We start from the raw sequence: 20,522 nt of genomic DNA on the forward strand, positions 1-20,522 counted from the left end.
AGCTTTCCCCACCCCCGAACACGTAGACTGACGCGGGCCCCGCGCGGCAGGTGGAGGTGCTGCGGGGGCCCCGCCGCCCGGTCTGCGCCCAGACCCCCGCCCCGCCGCCACCTGGGGGGAAGGACCCCGCTGGCCTCCCAGGGACCCCCACCCTGGCCGCACACGGCGCCCCCGCCGGAGCGGGGGAGGGGAGGGCCGGCCCCGCCAACGTCAGCGACCTGGGCTCAGGTCGGCCGCCCCTCCGCGCCGTGCGGCCACGGCACCAGGGGTGCCCCACCGAAGCCCCGGGAGGAGGCGGGGGAGCCCAGCTTGCAGCCAAGAGCGGCCCAGCGGCGCCACCGGACTTGAGAAAGTTTGTGCGCGCCCCTCCGCGCCACGGCCACGCGCAGAAGAGACTCGGAGCCGGCCCCAGGTCTGGCCCGGAACCGCCACGCGCGGTAAGCAGGACACCCGCGGGCGGGGGCCGCAGCCTGGGGCCCGGGTGGGGGCCGCGGCACCCGGGCCCCTCCCCCTCCGCGGCCTCCACGTCAGCAGCCACCCCCCACCCCCCCGCCCGGCAGCCCGCCCGCCCCGTCCGCCCGCCCGCCCAGGCCTCCCAGCCCCGTGTTGCGCGCTCACTCGTGGGCCCCCGCCCGCTGGTCCTGCCGCTGGCTTACTCGCCCCCCGCGCGGGAGAAGCCGGGACGCTCCGAGGCGCGGCGCCCGGGCCCCGGCTGCTATATAGGGCGGCGGCCCAATCCCGCCTGGACACGTCAGCGCCCGCCCGCCCCGCCGCTGGGGTCCCCGCCGCCCCGGGCCGCCCAGCACCCGGGAGGCCCACCCAACTGCAGGCGTGGTTCTGCATCCTTTTTTCGGGTGGGGAAGGCGGTGCCGAGGAGTTGGGAAATTAATCACCTCCAGAAAGCAGAGGGAGCGCGCCCCGCAAGAACCCGAGTGGAAACAACCGAAGACCAGAAAGGGAGCAGGAAGGACGGCTGCTCTGGAAGCAGATGTCACCAGTACCGCCCACCTCCCCAAAATCAGAAGAAAAACCTCAAAGGATGCCCACCACATCGTAAACGGATGGCCACACTGGCACGAGGTCCTACAGCGCAGTGAGGCTCCCAGGCGGCTCCAGGGCTTTCATTCCCTCATTCCTGCGTGCCTATTCCTTATGTCCCTCACTTTTATAAACTATCCCCACCCGATTCCTTGGCAATCAACTTAATCTCCCCCCCAAAATGTAAAATCCCCTTCCTTTAAAGCGTGTATTACTTATGGCTCCATCTCTACATAGATGTATACACGCAAAAGAACCGGTGTGTGGCCTCTGAGCCCACGGTGGATACGCAGGACTGGGCGGAACGGAATCCCTACTCTCGGGGTCTCCACCCTCCGGGAAGGACTTGTCACTTCTGCATCCATTGTGTTTACTAAGTGATAACTGCCACTGTTTCTTTTAAGGGTATAAAGGGAGTCGAGCAATCTGTAGAGATGTCAGTCTGAACCTCTGGCAAAGTCGCAGGTCAACAGAATCCTGCATAGGGCACAGGATCAACTACAGGTATCTGGGGACAAGACCGTCCCACACAGGGGAAGAGGTAGGGGCACACCCAGCCTTACCCAGGGAATGGGGTCAGGTCCGCACAGCCTGCAGCCAGGCCACGGGTGCTGTTGAGGATGGTGGGAGCTGGGTGGGGGCTGCAAGCAGCAGAAGGCAGGATCAGACGTGTTTTTTTTTTTTTCGTGGAACACTGACACTAAGTGGCAGGGGAGGGGAGGGCAGGGGAGGCCTACTATAGTTCAGTCTAAAGATGACAATGGCTTGCATTATGGTGGGCATAATGGAGGAAATAAATGGCCAGATTTGGTATATATTCAGAAAGAAGCACCAAGAAGTTCCTTATTGACCAGAAGAGGGGTGTAAAAGAAGTTAAGAAAGACACAGGTTCTTGGCCTGAGTGACTGGGAAGAGCTGCCCTCACTGAGGTGGGTAAAATTCAAGGAAGACTGGATGGATAAGGGGGTGTGATGCCCTGACTGGGCAGGTGGGGAAGTGGAGCAGGCAACTGTATGTGCAAGGTCAGGGGAAAAGCCTAGGAGCCAGCAGAAATACCATGCACTTCATGACACCACCTAGGGAGGGGAGCAGAATCACAGAAGGCAGAGAACACCTGCGGCTTGACGCAGAGAAGGAGCCAAGGATATCATCAGCAAAGCCGTGCTCTAAGTCAGCAGCACGGAACTGGGCAGGTGGGCCTCCCTAGATGTGGAAATAGGCATTCCCTTCTGTGTCACTGCTGTGGTTTGTTGGTAACCTTTCCGTGGGGATTAACCAATCAGCAACTAGTGCAAGTGTGTTTTTTGTTGCTGTTTTGTTTTTGAGGGCTCAGCACTGCAGAGGGAGATGGAGAAAGAGTAACGGGTAGGGATTCGGTCCGCTGTCAAGGAACTTCCAATAAAGCTAGGAAGTCAGCACAGGCACAGTACCTAGTACACAGGACACCGTAAAGAGTTAGTTTAAAAAACACTGTTAGCAGAAGAGATTACAAAATCATATGCTAACTTTGTGCTAATAACCGTCCAGAATGCTTCTGTGCTGATGCTCACAACCAGCATTTCCTCCCAGCAGGCTTAGCACACTGAAACTAATAAATAGTTCGTAGAAGCAAATTTTAGAAATTCCATGGCTAGCAATATTCAGACCAAATGAAGTGTGAACGTCTGTCTGTGACATTTGAGTTTTCAGCCCTCAAAGGGACGGGGGAGAAGTTTGGGTCTGCTCAAGGTAGGAGGTGAGAAGAGATACCCTCCTATTCCATAAAGTCATGATCCCCAAAAGGGCTACACTTACCAGAAGATAGGTAGATCAAAAAAAGAAGAAGAAAAGCCCACTAGTGTAGAGGGGACTACAGGATGCCTTCTCTGACTATCCTGAGCTGGCAGACAGAAGCATCTCTTGAGCTGTAGGGACAATGGACTAGTACTCTACAACCAAGCCCATTTGTCCAGGAACCCCTAGCCCAAACTGAGATATTAACAAAACAGAAAGCAATTCCCCCCCACCCCGCCTCAGGAAAGAATAAACCTCATACCAGGCTAAAAAGGATACCCACAGATCAGCACAAATGGTAGAGAGGCTAAAAGCCCAAAGCTCAAAAAGAAGGAAGGATGGATTAGAAGTAGGATTAGACTCAAGAACTTCGGGAGACAGAACTAAGATTGAGACAATAAAAAAGCATAAGAGACATAAAGGTGACATTTTAGAAAAAAAATCGAGAGATGGAACGAATGAAAGAGCTAAGAACCATGGAATGAGAAACTCTAACATATGTCTATAACTGGAGTTCCAAAACAAAAAGAGAAAAGAAAAAATCCAAAGAACAGAGAAGAAACATTTTTTAAAATAGCTGAGAAAATTCTAAGATTTAATGATACAACATTCTTCCCTCATCCCAAAAAAGACAGAGAAGGTGTCTAGCAGGATAATTTAAACTAATCCAAATCAAAACACACTACAGAGTAACCTCAGAGCACCAAAGACAAGAGCAGGACCTTAAAAGCAACTAGAGAGAAAAGACAGGTTACTCATAAAGAATACTATGAGACCAAAGGCAGACCACTTAAAACAATACATACCAGAGGATAATGGCTATATATAAATTATGGCGAAAGAAATAACTGTCAATTTGGATTTAAGAATTCTTTTTCATTTAAGAATGAGAATAGACATATTCAAAGATAAAGCAACTACTACCAATAGATCCCTGCTGACAGACCTACTAAAGGACATATTTCAGCAAGAAAATGAAAGCCAGAGAGACCAGAAAGAAGGAATACTGATAAACCAGCAACCTAGATAAAGTGAAACAAGTGGTGACCCTATACTAATATCAACAATAAAATTTGAAGGGAATTAAATTATAGATAGGTACGTAAGCAGAATATGCAAGTACAAAATAAAATAAAAGACAGAATTAAAATGCTTAGGCAGCAATAATATATAAGGTGGAAGGGGGATATGAAGTTGCAAGGTTTCAAGATTCTTATTATTTGGGGAGAGGCTAGAGATACTAATTTTAGCCCTTGTTGAGAATGAATGTTAAAAATTTAAAGACAATCTAGGAAAAACAAAGAGTTTTTAACATTCAAACTAAACTCTTACTCAAATGGAAGTTATTGGCAATGTTCTAGATCTTGGATTAGGTGGTAGGTTCAGCGGTATTCATTACGATGTACATTATTACTGGTTACATTATACTGTATTAATAATTGTTAAAGAAAAGAGAGAAAACAAGAAAAAAGAATAGGAGGCAAGAAAAGTAAAAGAAGCAATGAAAAAGCAAGGTAAATAAAACACAAAACTGATGAGAGGAATGAATTCAAACCCATCAGTAATCTAAATACGTGTTAACAGACTAAACTGACCAACTCTAACAGCAGCTATAGGCCATTCAACAGTCCTAAACCATACAGACATATAGGCTGAAATAAAGAGATGGAAGAAGTACTCCGAGCAAATACTAACCATATGAAAGTTGGTTATATTATTTTCAGATAACACAGACTGTAGGATAAAAATCATTATTAAGAACAGAGAAGGTCAAGAACTTAAAAATTCAGTAACTCTGATTACATGTATCTAATAACATAGCTGCAAAACATATAAAGTAAAAACTGAAGGTTACTAGGAGAAATTGATATATCCAAGGTTAAAGGGTGAGACTGACCCAACTCTCTTGGTAACACAGGTTATGGGATTGGAAAATGTATAGAGGATGCAAACACAATTAATAAATCTACTTTATTGAACACATGATTAAAAGTGACACCTTTTTAAAAAACCATAAAACCTGGCCAGGAGCTAAAAAAAAAAAAAAAATTAAACAAATAGTAAAGAATTAAATCATAGTAACATTCTCAGACCACCACTCAATTAGAACTCAACTTAAAAATTTAAAGACTATATAAGTTTTAAAACTTGCTTCTAAGTAACTCATGGAACAAGGAAGAAATCTGAAAACATTTAAAACTAAGCCATTAAGCAATTATATATCCCACCTTGTGGAATGAAACAAGATTGTTGCTTAAAGCCTTGTAACTTTAAGCCATCCTATTAGTGAAGAGGAAAAAAATAAAATAAGCTAATCATCCACTACTGAAACTAGAACAAAAAACACCAGAATAAACAAAAGAAAGGTAGAAGGAAATAAAGATAAGATATTAATGAACTAAAAGACATATACCACAAAGGATAAACAAAACCTACATCCAAATTTTTTAAAAGACAAGTTCAATCTCTGGCAAAAATGATTCCTGAAAAAAGGACAGTATAAGTAGGCAATATTAAGAATTAAAAGGGGGTCAAAAACTACAGCTAAAATGGAGACTTTGAAAAATCATGTAAGAATTCTATTGAGAAGAGTAGTGTCAAAAACTCGAAAACAGATGAAATGGGCAAATTCTAGAAAAATAAGTTACCCAAACTGAGTTAGAAATATAGTTTCAATAACCAACCTTCCCCAATCTTCAAAGAAACAAATATAAAACTTACAACAAGGCCGGGCGAGGTGGCTCACGCCTATAATCCCAGCACTTTGGGAGGCCGAGGCGGGCGGATCACCTGAGGTTGGGAGTTCGAGACCAGCCTGACCAACATGATGAAACCCTATCTCTACTAAAAATGCAAAATTAGTTGGGCGTGGTGGTGCATGCCTGTAATCCCAGCTACTCAGGAGGCCGAGGCAGGAGAATCGCTTGTACCTGGGAGGTGGAGGTTGCCGTGGGCCGAGACCACGCCATTGCACTCCAGTCTGGGAAACAAAAGTGAAACTCCATCTCAAAAAAAACCAAAAAACAACAACAACAAAATAATACAACAAAAAGGCGGGTCTCCAAATGCTTTTGTAAGGAAGCTTTCAGAGATTATCTCCCACACAAAGCTAGGGGGCTTGGACTCATCACAGACAAAGGAGTAGGTGAATCTCACCTAGGTATTTAAAAGCCAAAGCCTGAAACAATCTTGCAAACTGACCCAGAAATAGAAAAACAAATATTATCACGATGAAGTTTAATCCAGTAATGTGGGGGGGTACAATATTAGAAAAACAGAGTAAAGTTACTCGCCACATTAACAGCATGAGGGGCAAAGATAATTTGATCATTTCAAAAGATTCAAATAGGCTGGGCACGGTGGCTCGTGCCTGTAATCCCAGCACTTTGGGAGGCTGAGGCAGGCAGATACCTGAGGTCAAGAGTTCGAGACCAGCCTGGCCAATATGGCGAAACTCCGTCTCTACTAAACATACAAACATTAGCCGGGCATGGTGGCACATGCCTGTACTCCCAGCTACTTGGGAGGCTGAGGCAGGAGGATTGCTTGAACCCGGGAGGTGGAGGTTGCAGTGAAACAAGATGGTGCCACTGCACTCCAGCCTGGGCAACAGAGCAAGACTCCATCTCCAAAAAAAAAAAAATTCAAATGAAGAATCTCAACTAATTAACCCATTCCTAATAGCAACTAGGAATATAAGCCAGGGCAGTATGGCAAGAAAAGAAAGTTACCAGAATTGAAAATGAACCAAAACTGCCAGTATTCACAGACAATATAACTGTGCTGGAAGAAAATCCAGGAGGATGTATGGACACACTATTAGAACTAATTAAAAAGTTCAGTAAGTTTTCTGGAAATAAAACCAATACACACAATCAATTATGTTTCCAAAACACCAGCAACAAACTATTAAAAATAAATCTAAGCCGGGTGTGGTGATGCATGCCTGTAGTCCCAGCTACTTGGGGGGCTGAGACACGAGAATCGCTTGAACCCAGGAGGCGGATGCTGCAGTGAACCAAGATCACGCCACTGCACTGCCGCGTGAGCAACAGCGTGAGACTCTGTCCCCTCTCCACCCCTCTAAAAAAATTTTTTAAAATCTAATTAAGAAAAAAAATGTGATTTATAGAACTTATAAAAACCTTTGTCAAAATACAGAAATGACCTTAATAAATGGAGACAGGCCATGGTCATCTAAAGAAAGACTTAATCATGGATAGTAATTCTCCCCTAATTAGACTAGAAATTCAATGCAAATGTAACTTAAATCCCAAAAGGTATGTGTGTGTATGGAATTTTACAACCAGATTTTATACAATTTTTATTTATACAAGTTTTCTATATGTAATTTTTATAATGTTGCATTGCAAACACTGAATTGTAAAAAAAATTATTTATATACACCATTTTTAGAATAGTTACAAATACAATCATATTTACACAACAAAATTTATACAAAAGATCAAGGACCAAGAACAGCTAATATAACTCTGAAGAAAACAACGTGGAGGAGGGCTTGCTCTCTCCAGTGTCAGTAATTCAGGCTGTGGTGCTAGTGCCGGGGACAGACACAGAGAACAAGGGAGCAGCAGAGTGGGCCCAACGCAGACACCACAGACACTGACATTGCCTGCCTCAGATGTGGTCGTGTGGATCAGCAGGGAGATGGATGATGCAATCAATGGCTCTGGGAAAACTGGTTATCTACAGTAGGAGGGAAAAACTAGGTCCTTATTTGACACCATTTGCAAGGCCTATTAAGGCTTAAGAAGCAAATACTCCACGAGCGAACGATCCCACTTCTGGAGACGTACTTCAGGAAAAAGCTTTCCTGGGCAAAAGGAAATATGTACAAGAATGCTCATCTCACTGCACTGCTAGTAATAGTCAACAAATTTTTAAGAACCTAATTGTCAGTGGATAACATGGATAAACAGAGGTATACAATTTATGCAGCCTACTCCTCTCTTTGCTTTAACTTATCACCTGACAGGAACCCGCTGCAGTGGAGCCATGCTGAAGGGGTTAGGAGGAGCAGCGGACCAGGGGTCATCTCCAAGGCTGTGGGAGCAGAGATGTGGAGGACAGGCGCCCACCACTTCCTTGGCAGCAGTGCAGTCTTATAGGAAGTTATTGGCACCATGGGATGGGAGCTAAGTTTAGCACAATTTGCACTCCCATACTGAGTGTGGTGGTCAAAGTCAGGTCAAAGAAATGTTTCCATCCCATTTGAAAGCTGAAAATTTAAAATTATATGTGGCTCATATTACATTTTTATTAGCACAAACTAATTTTATAATTAAGCTTATTTATACTCAGTTTAATTTGACTTGTAGCATATTCTAATAAGGAACAACTTTTCTTTGGCTCACATGTATTTACTGCTAATATATATTACAGTATATATTATTACATTAAACTCCCAGCCCTAAAATAAAGTCTCACGAAAGTTCAGATGAGACAGAAACAAAGACCTTGCAGTCCAGGGTTTCCTGTAAATTTGCCTTGTTCTTTCTCCACTAACTAATTCTGTCAGTTTCACTACTTTTCAGGAAGTAACAGAAAAGGTAACTTAGTATATTCTCCAGTGACACTGTTCTCTGGCTTATTTCTTTGATTCACGTATTTCTAGGTAAGGTGAAAATACGTAACTTGTGTTTTATCCGAGTCATTATAGGCACCTATAATGAGAACAAATTGTATAAAGAACACCAAACTTGTTGCCAGGATACCTGCTTTCAGAATCTTGCTCAGATATAATTTGGGTCACCTTGGCTAGTTGTTTAAGCTCTCAACTTTAATAATTCACATTTCTAAGTTTTGGGGCCTTTTCTGCAAGTTGTTAAAAAGATCAAGGAAAATGGTATCTAAAAGAACCTGCCCTTTAATAGGTATCTCACTGTTTGGGAATGCTAACATTTAATTCCACTAAACCACTAAACTCACTACTTTCCACTAAATTAATACATTTAGTGGAGTATGCCACTACATTAATTTTACAAATACAGAAACAATCAGCACATATTTCTACAGCTGAGTAAAGAATAATATTTACTTAGAGCCTAATTAAAGAACATGTGTCAGATAAATACAATTTATTTTCTTAATAAGATGGGGGGCTGGGCGCGGTGGCTCACGCCTGTAATCCCAGCACTTTGGGAGGCCGAGGTGGGCGGATCACTTGAGGTCGAGAGATCGAGATCAGCCTGACCAACAGGGAGAAACCCCATCTCTACTAAAACACAAAATTACTCGGGCTTGGGGGTGCATGCCTGTAATCCCAGCTACTCGGGAGGCTGAGGTGGGAGAATCGCTTGAACCCGGGAGGCAGAGGTTGCAGTGAGCCGAGATCGCGCCATTGCACTCCAGCCTGTGCAACAGGAGTGAAACTCCGTCTTAAAAATAAATAAATAAATAAGCCAGGCATGGTGGCACGTGCCTGTAATCCCAGCTACTCGGGAGGCTGAGGTGGGAGAATTGCTTGGGCCTAGGAGGTGGGGGTTGCAATGAGTTGAGATCGTGACACTGCACTCCAGCCTGGCTGACCAAGTGAGACCCTGTCTCAAAAAAATAAAAAAGAGGATAGGACAAATGTTAGGTCCAAAAGAATAAATTGATGGATTTTCATAGAAATAGACTACTCTTTTGAGCTGTGCTGGCCAACATCTACTGGCCACATGTCACTACAGCCTTCACACGTGGCTAGTTTAAAATGATATGTGCTGTAAGTCTAAAATATACATCAGATTTTGAAGATTTAGTACAAGAAATACTATCTAAAACATTTTATTATTAGTTTTAGGATGGATTACATGTAAAATGGTAGTATCTTACATTGGGTGAAACAATATTATTAAAATTAACTTCACTTGTTTATTTTTATATTTTTAAGGCAGATGTTGGAAAATTTTAAATATATGTGGCTCATATTGGACAGCAGTGCTACAGTGTCTGTATTTTCAAACCAAAGCTAAACTATAAACTGACAAGGGAGTTTTTCTCATTAGTAAACTTTATATAACAATCTTAAGGAAAAAATATTTTATTACAAATCTTTTGTGTTTAATGAATAAATTTACATTAGGGGAAAAGAGTATAAAATGCGTCTTCTTCTCAATCATGAAAGCATCTCCTCTACCACAAACACAAACATGGCACACGTGGCAGGCTCAAACATTTCTGGGGAAAAGAGGAGCACGTTACGTTTACAGTATTTCCTAAAGGACTCTTTAATAACCCATTTTTAAAAAATGGGCAAAAGATACAAGCAGGCCTTTCATGGAAATGCAGGAAACATTTATTCAATTTGTATTTTAAAATGCAAGTGAAAAGTAGAATAAGATTCTACATTTCACCTCAGTTTGGCAAAAATAAAATCTGAAGACTCAAAAAAAAGTGTGGGAAAACAGGTGTGGCTGGAGGAATAATTGGTGTGGTCTCTTTGGAGAGCGTACATATTTGATTGTGGACTGAGATTTAAAACATCAATATTCTTTGATCTAACACTTCCTACTTCTAAGAATTTCTCACACATGTGCCCAAAGATAGAGGCACACTTCAGCTTACAGTGCTTCTCTTACTTGGGTTTTTTAGACATTGTGTTTATTATAGGCTGAAGGTTTTGGCAACTCTGCAGGTCTTTCCATGCCTCTTTTCCAACAGCACATTTTGGTAATTCTAGCAATATTTCAAACGTTTTCATTGTCATTGTATCTGTTATGGTGATCTGTAATCCTTGATGTTACTACTGTAATTGTTTTGGAGTGCCACAAACCACGCTCATACAAGGCAGAGAACTTAATCAATCAATGCTGTGTGTGTTCTGACTGCTCCAACTGGCCACTCCCATCTCTCTCCCTCTCCTCATGCCGCCCGATCCCTAGACACAATATTGAGGGGAAACCAATTAATAACCCAACAATTGCTTCTAAGTGTTCAAGTGAAAGGAAGAGCTGCACGTCTCTCATATTAAATCAAAAGCTAGAAATGATTAAGAAGGCACGTGAAGAAGAGTTGTTAAAAGCTAAGACACGCCAAAAGCTAGGCCTCTTGCACCAAATAGCCAAGCTGTGAATGCAAAGAAAAAAGGCTGAAGGAAAAGTGCTACTCCAGTGAACACATAAATGGTAAGAGAGCGAAACAGCCTTATCGCTGATAAGGAGAAAGTTTGAGTGGTCTGGCTAGAAGATTAAACCAGTCTCAAAATTCCCTTAAACCAAAGCCTAATCCAGAGCAAGGCCCTAACTCTCTTTAATTCCATGAAGGCTGAGAGAGGTGAGGAAGCTGCAGGAAAAAATGTCTCAAGCTAGCAGAGGTTGGTTCTTGAAGTTTAAGATCTCTCTAACATGAAAGTGCACGGTGAAGCAGCAAGTGCTGATGTAGAAGCTGCAGTGAGTTATGAAGATTTAGCTAAGGTCACTGATGAAAGTAGCTGCACTAAACAGATTTTCAGTGTAAATGAGACAGCCTCATAGTGCAAGAAGATGCCATCTAAGGACTTTGATAGCTAGATGGCTTCTTTTTTTTTTTTTTTCTTGAGACAGAGTCTCGCTCTATGGCCCAGGCTGGAGTGCAGTGGCATGATCTCTGCTCAGTGTAACCTCTGCCTCCCAGGTTCACACCATTCTCCTGCCTCAGCCTCCCGAGTAGCTGGGACTACAGGCGCCCACCACCACGCCCGGCTAATTTTTTGTATTTTTAGTAGAGATGGGGTTTCACCGTGTTAGCCAGGATGGTCTCGATCTCCTGACCTCGTGATCCGCCCACCTCAGCCTCCCGAAGTGCTGGGATTACAGGCGTGAGCTACTGCGCCCAGCCAATAGCTAGATCGCTTCTAAGAGAAGCCTTCAAAGCTTCAAAAGGCTGACTCTCTTGTTAGGGGCTAGTGCAGCCAGTGACTTTATGTTAAAGCCAATGCTCATTTACCATTCTGAAAATCCTAGGGGTCTGAAGAATTACACTAAATATACTCTGCCTGTGCTGTATGAATGAAACAAAGCCTGGATGACAGCACATCTGTTTAAAACGATTTACTGAGTATTTTAAGCTCACCGTTAAGATCTACTGCCCAGAAAAAAAAAAAAGATTCCTTTCAAAACATTACTGCTGATTGGCAAAGCATCTGGTCACCCAAGAGCTCTGATGGAGATGTACAAGGAGATGAATGTTGTTTTCATGCCTGCTAACAGCCATTCTGCAGCCCATGGATCAAGAAGTAATTTCGACTTTCAAGACTTAATACTTAAGAAATTATTTTTAAGGCTACAGCTGCCATAGATAGTTATTCCTCTCATGGATTTGGGCAAAGTCCATTGAAAACCTCCTGTAAAGGATTCACCATTCCGGATGCCATGACTTTGAGGGGTTCAAGACTTCAGTGGAGAAAGCAACTGCAAGTGTGGTAGAAACAGCAAGAGAACTAGAATTAAAAGTGGAGCCTGAAGATGGGACTGAATTGCTGCAATCTCATGATAAAACGTGAACAGATGAGGAGTTGCTTCTTATGGATGAGCAGAGAAAGTGGTTTCCTAAGATAGAATCTACTCAGGAAGTAGATGCTGAATGAAGATGTTGTGAACATTGTTGAAATGACAACAGAGGATTTAGAATATTACATAAACTTAGCTGATAAAGCAATGGCAGTGTTTGAGAGGATTGAGTCCAATTCTGAAAGTAGTTCTATTGTGGGAAAATGCAATCAAACAACATCACGTGCTACAGAGAAATCTTTTGTGGAAGAGTCAATCAATGCAGTAAACTTCATTGTTGTCTGATTTTACAAAATTGCCAGTCACCCCAACATGTAGCAACCTCTGCTCTGATCAGTCAGCAGCCATCAACATCAAAGCGAGACCTTCCAGCAGCAAAAAGATTAAGACTTGCTGAAGGCTCAATGATCATGAGCATTTTTTAACCAATATTTTATTATTATTTTTTGAGATGGAGTCTCACTCAGTTGCCCAGACTGGAGTGCAGTGGCACAGTCTTGATCTTGGCTTACTGCAACCTCCACCTCCCGGGTTCAAGTGACTCTCCCGCCTCAGCCTCCCAAGTAGCTGGGATTACAGGTGTGCTCCGCCACACCCAGCTAATTTTCGTACTTTTAGTAGAGGCGGGGTTTCACCATGTTGGCCAGGCTGGTCTCGAACTCCTGACCTCAGGTGATCCACCCACCTTGGCCTCCCAATGTGCTGGATTACAGGCCTGAGCCACTGCGCCCAGCCTTAACCATTATTTTAAATTAAAGTATATACCATTGTTTTTCTAAACATGTTACAGCTTTTATATGCACTGGGAAACGTAAAACTCATGTGATGTGCTTTATTGGGATGTCAGGCTTTCTTGTGGTGGTATCACAAACCTGCAGTGTCTCTGCAGTGTGCCTGATGTGCACTGTAGCATTTTTGTAGAGTCAGAAGATTAAACATTTGCATTGGTTCAGTCCGGGACTGGGTAAACAAAGGGTGGCAGAACACAAAGCACTATCACTGACCTCCATAAACGACCTGATGAATGACCAAGTCTCCACCCCCACAGTAAAATATTAATTGATGTCATGAGCAGAGTGCCTTCTAGTGTGCCCTGAACACCGATCCCCACCAGTGATGATGTGTGCTTAGTAAGACTCAGTTTTACTTGCTCTCAAACCTGTTTATGCCAGTTTCACTAGTTAATGTAACTACATTTAGAAATAATTCAAAATAATGAAGGAGTGAAGAGAAATTTATCTATGGATATTAAATTTACCACACTGAAATTTCAAGAAAAACAAGTTGCCTTAAAAAAATTATGGCTGGACATGGTGACTCATGCCTATAATCCTAGCACTTTGGGAGGCCAAGGCAGAAGGATCACTTGAGGCCAAAAGTTTGAGACCAGCCTGGGCAACAAAGTGAGACCTCATTTCTTAAAAAAATAAAAAATAAAAACAATTAGCCTGTGCCTGTAATCCTAGTTACTCAGGAGACTGAGGCAGAAGGATCATTTGAACCCAATTTGAAGCTGCAGTGAGTTACAATCGTGCCACAGCACTCCAGCCTGGGAAAAAGAGCAAGACCTGTTTGTTTAAAAGAAAAAGTCAAATGGAGGAAAACCTTTAAAATCTCAGAGAATCTACACTGATTATGAGTTTCTTAAATTTTTGTTCCACTTAAATGAATGCTGAAAATCCTAGACGACATATTATCAATTTCATTTACATAAGAAGAGAGTATGTGGCCAGGCATGGTGGCTCATGCCTGTAATCCCAGCACTTTGGGAGGTTGAGGTGGGTAGATCGCTTGAGCCCAGGAGTTCAAAACCAACACAGGCAACATAGTCTGAAAGGAAAATAAATCTTGGGGCCCCCAAATCACTAAGTTAAAAGGAAAAGTCTAGCTGGGAACTGCTTAGGGCCAACGTGCTTCCCATTCTCTTCAAAGTCTCCCCTCTGTTCACTGAGATAAATGCGTATCTGACTGCCTCCTTTGGAGAGGCTCATCAGAAACTCCAAAGAATGCAACCATTTGTCTCTTACCTGCCTGTGACTTGGAAGTCCCCTCCCCACTTGGAGTCTTCCTGCCTTTGCTTCGAGCCATCCTGCCTCTCCAGACCGAACCAATGTTCGTCCTGTATATGCTGACTGATGTCTCATGTCTCCCTACAATGTATAAAGCCAGACTGTGCTCTGCCCACCTTGGGCACACGTCATCAGGACCTCCTGAGGCTGGGTCACGGGTGCGCGTCCTCACCCTTGGCAAAGTAAGCTTTCTAAATTAACTGAGACTTGTCAGATTTCCTGGGTTTACAATGGTGAAACCCTGTCTCTACCAAAAAATAAAAAATAAAAATAAAAATAAAAATTAGCCAGGCATGGTAGTATGCACCTGTAGTGCCAGTTACTCAGTGTGGAAGCTGAGGTGGGAGGATCACCTGAGCCCCAGGGGTTGAGCAGTGAGCCATGATGGCACCACTGCACTCCAGCCTGGACAACACAGCAAGACCCTGTTTCCAAAAAAAAAAAAAAAGAAAACATGTAGAATCCAGCCAGTCCCATTTCAAATAGGTCTTCACCCTGTATCAAATGACTGGTGATTAAATAAACCTCTGTGCCTCAAAACAGGTCAGTTAAGGGGGCTTTAACCATACACCCAGTGTCAGTGAACAAGAAGAGGCAGTTTGTTGTTGTTGTTTTGAGACAGAGTCTCACTCTACTGCCCAGGCTGGAGTGCAGTGGCGTGATCTTGGCTCACCGAAACCTCCGCCTCCTGGGTTCAAGCGATTCTCTTGCCTCAGCCTCCCGAGTAGCTGGGACTACAGGCGTGCGCCACCACACCTGGCTGATTTTTGTATTCTTAGTAGACACAGGGTTTCACATTGTTGGCCAGGCTGGTCTCAAACTTCTGACACCGTGATCCACCCGCCTGTCTCCCAAAGTGCTGGAATTACAGGCATAAGCCACCGCGCCCGGCCTATTTCTTTCTTTCTTTTTTTTTTTTTTTTCTGAGACAGGGTCTTACTCTGTTGCCCAGGCTGGAGTGCAGCAGCACAATCGCAGCTCACTGCAACCTCTGCCTCCCAGGTTCAAGCGATTCTCCCACCTCAGCCTCCCAAGTAGCTGGACTACAGGTGTGCGCCACTATGCCTGGCTAATTTTTGTATATTTTTTTGTAGAGACAGGATTTTACCACATTGGCCAGGTTGGTGTTGAACTCCTGGCCTCAGTGATCTGCCTGCCTTGGCCTCCCAAAGTGCTGGGATTACAGGTGTGAGCCACTGCGCCTGGCCTGCAGCTATGTGTTACGTTGATATGTAACCAGTCGTGTTAAAAGATATACATGTTTGTACATGCATAAGACCTCTCTAGAAGGAAACTCAAGTCATTGAGAATAGCAAAAGGACAGGAAGTCCAGAGCCCAGTCCTCAACAAGCATCAACATGAACAGCTGGGTAAAAGATGGACTTGAAAAGACAATTCTGCTGTGAAGCTGTAGAATGTGAAGACGGGAGGGAAGACCATGAAAAATGGCACATATTCCTACACCACATACCCCCAAAGTGTGTTTTAATAGGAAACTATGGATGGACATATGCTAAGTGTTTGTGAGAGTTATCAGCAGAAGGGGAAAGCTCTGTATTATATGAGGCTCTTTACTTTTCAACAAAAATACCTCCACCTGGAGAGGGAAAAGAGGACACTTAAGTATCACCAGGTACTACAAATCAGTGAAAAACAGAGTCACAAAATTTATTTTCTCTGCTGTGCTATTCTCATTACAATTGCCACGTTATCTGCAAGACGTCTGAATTAAAATTTTTTTTTGTTAATTTCCTTTTGAGGAAGTGGTGATGACTTTACATGAACCTATTCAAGCCTTGGAAACTGAGAACAAGATACATAAGAGCTGTCTTTACCATGTGGAGAGCATTTAAAGGGGGACTGAGTTCTGTCCAGTTGCCTGCACAACTAAGAACAATTCTGAAGACACATTTCATCTCAACATGAAGAAAAGGATCACTAAGAGTGAGCATGCTTTCCTGAATTAGCACCTAGGAAAAAAAATGGGCAGAGCTTATTCCCACTGTGAAGTGTACTCTCCACTGGGTGATCATTTAACTTACATGACTCCTTAGGGTCTCCTCCATCTTAAGTTTCTTTGACTCACTGAAGAAACAAACCACTGCTTCTAGGTGGAAATGCATCCGTATGACCCATGGGTTTACTGATGTCTCTAACTGCCATGGTAACACTAGTCTGCCACCCTGAGCCGCTGAAAGGTGTTTCATGGCAGCTCCTGCACACACACATACTCCTCACCAGGGCTTGAAGCCCACGCAGGCCCCCACCCCAACTGTAATGGTGTTCCTGGGAAGGGGATGGGAACAGAATGGCTGTAGGAAGGGCCATTCCCCTTTAGTCCTGCAATTTAAAAATCCCTTCCATCTCCTCACTATAAATCTCATTAAACTACAAGAAACAAAATAATTTGAAGTTTGACCCAGGGCAACAATTTACACTTGATGATTTTTTCCTTCCTACAATTTACATAGGAAAGTTCTATGAGCTAGAATTAGCTTAGCTCATGTTTATAAAGAACTCTGTTATGGATACAAAGCTAGCTAACGCCATGGGTGGAAAATACTTAAGAATCTGAAAGATTAATCTTGGGCTCAGTCCTATCCAAATAGAAACAATACTTTTCTACAAACAAGAAAACACACATCAGGAAAACCCAAGTCTTCAGGTTTTCTCCTCTCAAGGGTGGAGAGCATGTGGCACTCCAATGTGCGATCTGCTGCTGACACTGCTTGGCACATCACCCTCTTCACTTGGCCTGCTTCCTCCTTTGTCTCATGAGAAGGTGGGACTGCATCATCTCTCCAGGTACTCTCTTCCTATCAGTCTACTCTTCAGAGATTAAGCCTCACTTTTGGATATAAAGACTCCCTAGAAACGCTTACTTATATAACTGTCTCCACAAAGAGCTAATTCAACATTAAACTGCACGAATACAAGCACAACGTCCCCACCAAAGCACAGGTATGTTCCTCTATGCAAAGTTAGACAATGGAGATACCGGACTCAGATCAGAACATTACCATGTAAGAGAAAAACTGACATACATCCAGGGAGCAGGAACTTAGATGTCTCATCTATAAAGAGAGAAAACTGGGCAGAACAAGAAAACACTATTTCCTACTATTAGAAAACAAGTATCACACCAGGAAGATAAAGACAGCTTCTCTGCAACTCCAAAGGCATCCAAGGACAGGAAGGGGTCAGGATGGCAGAGAAGGAAGATCAGTAATGAGGGGAAGTAGGATCAGAATAGCAGAATGGCTGGCACCAAAGGTAAGGAGTGCCCTCTAAAGGAAACCTCAAGAAGACATTAGGCATCAACGTGGGGTGAGTATGGCAGTGGGAAACTCAAGTATTAGATAAAAAGGAAACTCCAGCTACTGCACGTGTGGGATGAATGGACTTCAGAAGGGCAACAGCAGAGATAGCGAGACATAAAAAGCTAAAAAAAAAAAATCTGGAAAGTAACACAACTTCAATATGCAGATGGGCTGAAGAAACCACTTTGTGTCCATGCAGTGAAGCAACACATAGCATAAAAGGTAGAAGGAAAGCCTCCATACACTACTATGCATAGTCTTCGGGGTACACAGTTAATGAAAAGAGCAACGGAGGCCAGCAGGTGCAGGGTATGCTACCTTTCTGTAAGAAAGAGTCAGAAATAGAAATGTGTATGTCTGTTTATATTTTCAGAAAGAAACAAGAAGAAAATGTTGGGGTAAGGAAAGAAGGGACAGGGGACAGGGATGGAAATCAAGCTCATCTGAGCAGAACAAGAGTAACAGCTCTGTTTTAGAACCATAAACATCAGAAGAGGCCGGGTACAGTGGTTTACGCCTGTAATCCCAGCACCTTGAAAGGCCAAGGTGGGTGGATTACCTGAGGTCGGGAGTTCGAGACCAGCCTGACCAACATGGAGGAACCCCGTCTCTACTAAAAATACAAAATTAGCCGGGCGTGGCGGCACATGCCTGTAATCCCAGCTACTCGGGAGGCTGAGGCAGGAGAAATGCTTGAACCCAAGAGGCGGAGGTTGTGGTGAGCCGAGATCGCGCCATTGCACTCCAGCCTGGGCAACAAGAACAAAACTCTGTCTCAAAGGAAAAAAAAAAAAATCAGACTCTAAACTCTAAAAATAAAACGTTCCACTTCTTTATCTCAATGCTGGTTATATGAGTGAGTTCAGTTAGTGAAAATTCACTGAGCTATATACATTAAAAAGTGCATGTTTATTATACCTCAATAAAAAGTCTACTTAGAAAATGGAAACAAATGTATCTAACAATGTCAGAGCGGCGGCCTAAGCATCAGAGAATTATTTAACTTTAAAACACAATAATTTGACAATATATTCCAAATGGGATATATCCTAATAATGTCAGTATCGTTACTGTAAGAATATATTGTATGAAAAATATGTGCCATGAAAATGGCACTTATTCATACACTACACGCCTCTGAAAGTGTGTTTTAACAGGAAACTCTGGACAGACACATGCTAAGTGTTTGTGAGACTTATCTGCAGGAGGGGAAGCTCTGTATCACACGAGGCGCTTTACTTTTCAAAGATGCCTCCATCTAGAAAGGGAATAAAAGATGCTTAAGCATCGTCGGCTACTACAAATCAGTGAAAAGCAGAGTCACAAAATTTAGAATAGGTAAGCGAGTTAATATCATTAAGAACCAAGATTTTAGCCTAAGAAAATGATACACATTGAACTGACTGATATATAAACACCATCTCACGGCAAGAGACTGGGGTTCCTTAGAAACATGACTGACTCTAGGTCTAAGCAGAACACGGACGAGGTACAACACCCTCCTGTGACAGGCAGGCAGGGAGCAGTCACAAACCAAGGAGTCACACCCAAAGATGACACAAGCCAACTTGGGTAGAACAACAGAAGCACCAAAATACGGCTTCCACGGGTTGAAGCACAATCACATCCCCAGGTTTATAGTACTAGGGGGAAATGCTACAGAAATGAACTTCAACTTTGGAAGCTATTAGTTCCAGTGCATCCTAAACACTGATAAAGGAAAGAAATCATTCATTTCTTCTTTCTCCCCAGCAGGAACCACATTTCAGAACCTCCAAAATTGATACAGGAAATCTTCTTTAAATAAGAATAGAATTAGAAAAATCTTCACTTTATAATTGTCAGCTGTAGGCTGAACAATGGCCTCCAAAGATATTCAAGTCCTAATTTCTGGATTTGGATATGTTACAGATGAATTAAGAATCTTGAGATGGGAGATCATTTTGGATTATATGGGTGGGACGTAACCACAATCACAAGTGTCCTTTAGATCATGTGCTCTAATGATGGAGGAAGGGGCCATAGCCAAAAAATGGCTGCCACGAGCTGGAAAAGGCCAGGAAGCAGATACTCTCCAGAGCTGCCTGATGGCACCCAGATACCCAGACTCTAGACCAGTGAGACTGATTTCAGCCACAGTGTTGTAATTTGGTACAGCAGCAATAGGAAAGTAATACACCAACTAAATAACGGGTACAAGCAACAAGCAAATGGCCGTTAAACCCAGTAGAGAACTGGTTGATAAAGAACTCTATAATTCAACCTACTGACACCGCACCCGACATCATGTAACCTGGCTGCTCAACGTGCAACACAGAGCACAGTCTGTGGAATATCCTTGAAACCACTGCCCCCCACCCCCCCAACAACAAACAGCCTGAAACCAATTAAGCATCCTGACCTAGCTACAGGAAGTATGAGGATTAGAAAAACACATTAGATAGTGCCACAACACAGTCAACCAAATCCCAAACCTGGGACGTTCCACAGCACAAACAACCCTATTGCCTTCATAAATAAATGGCATTAAAAACAAAAACTAAAAAAGGGAAAAGAAGCTGCAAGCTATAGATTTTCAAAGAGCTAAGAGGCTTAAACCAAATGCAATGTGGAGACCTTCTTTGGATTTCAATTCAAGCAAACAAAGTGTAAAAAGGCTTTTTATGACATCTGGAGAAAACCAAACACAGAATAAATATTAGATAATATTAATGAGCGTGGTTGGTGGTGTTAGCTATGATGAAGGTATTGTGGTTATGTTTTTTAAAGCCGTTTCCTAAAAAATACATGCTAAAGTATTTAGAGGTGACTAAAAGTCTGAGATTTGCTTT

At 43.2% G+C, this 20,522-nt stretch overlaps 1 protein-coding gene and 1 long non-coding RNA gene across 19 annotated transcripts in view, besides 3 other annotated features; one reads left to right on the forward strand and one right to left on the reverse strand.

The window, feature by feature from the left end:
* HDLBP (high density lipoprotein binding protein) overlaps positions 1-20,522 on the reverse strand; it is an 88,382-nt gene that overhangs the window by 44,852 nt on the left and 23,008 nt on the right. For 7 of the 18 annotated variants that reach the window (XM_047444077.1, XM_047444067.1, XM_047444073.1 and 4 more), the window contains exon 2: positions 619-18,949. The exons of 8 other annotated variants lie outside the window; for them this stretch is intronic. The gene's annotated coding sequence lies outside the window, so the exon portion shown is untranslated. Of the gene's footprint in view, positions 1-618; positions 18,950-20,522 lie in introns of those variants that run through there. 3 more of the 18 variants (NM_001320967.3, NM_203346.6, NM_001243900.3) reach the window with 1 other exon arrangement.
* On the forward strand, positions 22-4,797 carry HDLBP-AS1 (HDLBP antisense RNA 1). Its single transcript, NR_168372.1, has 2 exons — positions 22-1,542; positions 1,861-4,797. It is a non-coding gene; the product is annotated as an HDLBP antisense RNA 1 (long non-coding RNA).
* Positions 56-365: a silencer, noted in NCBI's record as "silent region_12533". NCBI's record gives its function as "represses an Ori minimal core promoter by ATAC-STARR-seq in GM12878 lymphoblastoid cells {active_cell/tissue: GM12878}" and the evidence as "EXISTENCE:reporter gene assay evidence [ECO:0000049][PMID:35858748]".
* Positions 636-915: a silencer, noted in NCBI's record as "silent region_12534". NCBI's record gives its function as "represses an Ori minimal core promoter by ATAC-STARR-seq in GM12878 lymphoblastoid cells {active_cell/tissue: GM12878}" and the evidence as "EXISTENCE:reporter gene assay evidence [ECO:0000049][PMID:35858748]".
* Positions 9,092-9,592: an enhancer, noted in NCBI's record as "H3K27ac hESC enhancer chr2:242220649-242221149 (GRCh37/hg19 assembly coordinates)". NCBI's record gives its function as "activates a minimal SCP1, AML or CMV promoter by ChIP-STARR-seq in naive H9 embryonic stem cells {active_cell/tissue: H9 hESC(naive)}" and the evidence as "EXISTENCE:reporter gene assay evidence [ECO:0000049][PMID:30033119]".

This window comes from Homo sapiens, chromosome 2 (genome assembly GCF_000001405.40).
Source record: "Homo sapiens chromosome 2, GRCh38.p14 Primary Assembly".
NCBI lineage: Eukaryota > Metazoa > Chordata > Mammalia > Primates > Hominidae > Homo > Homo sapiens.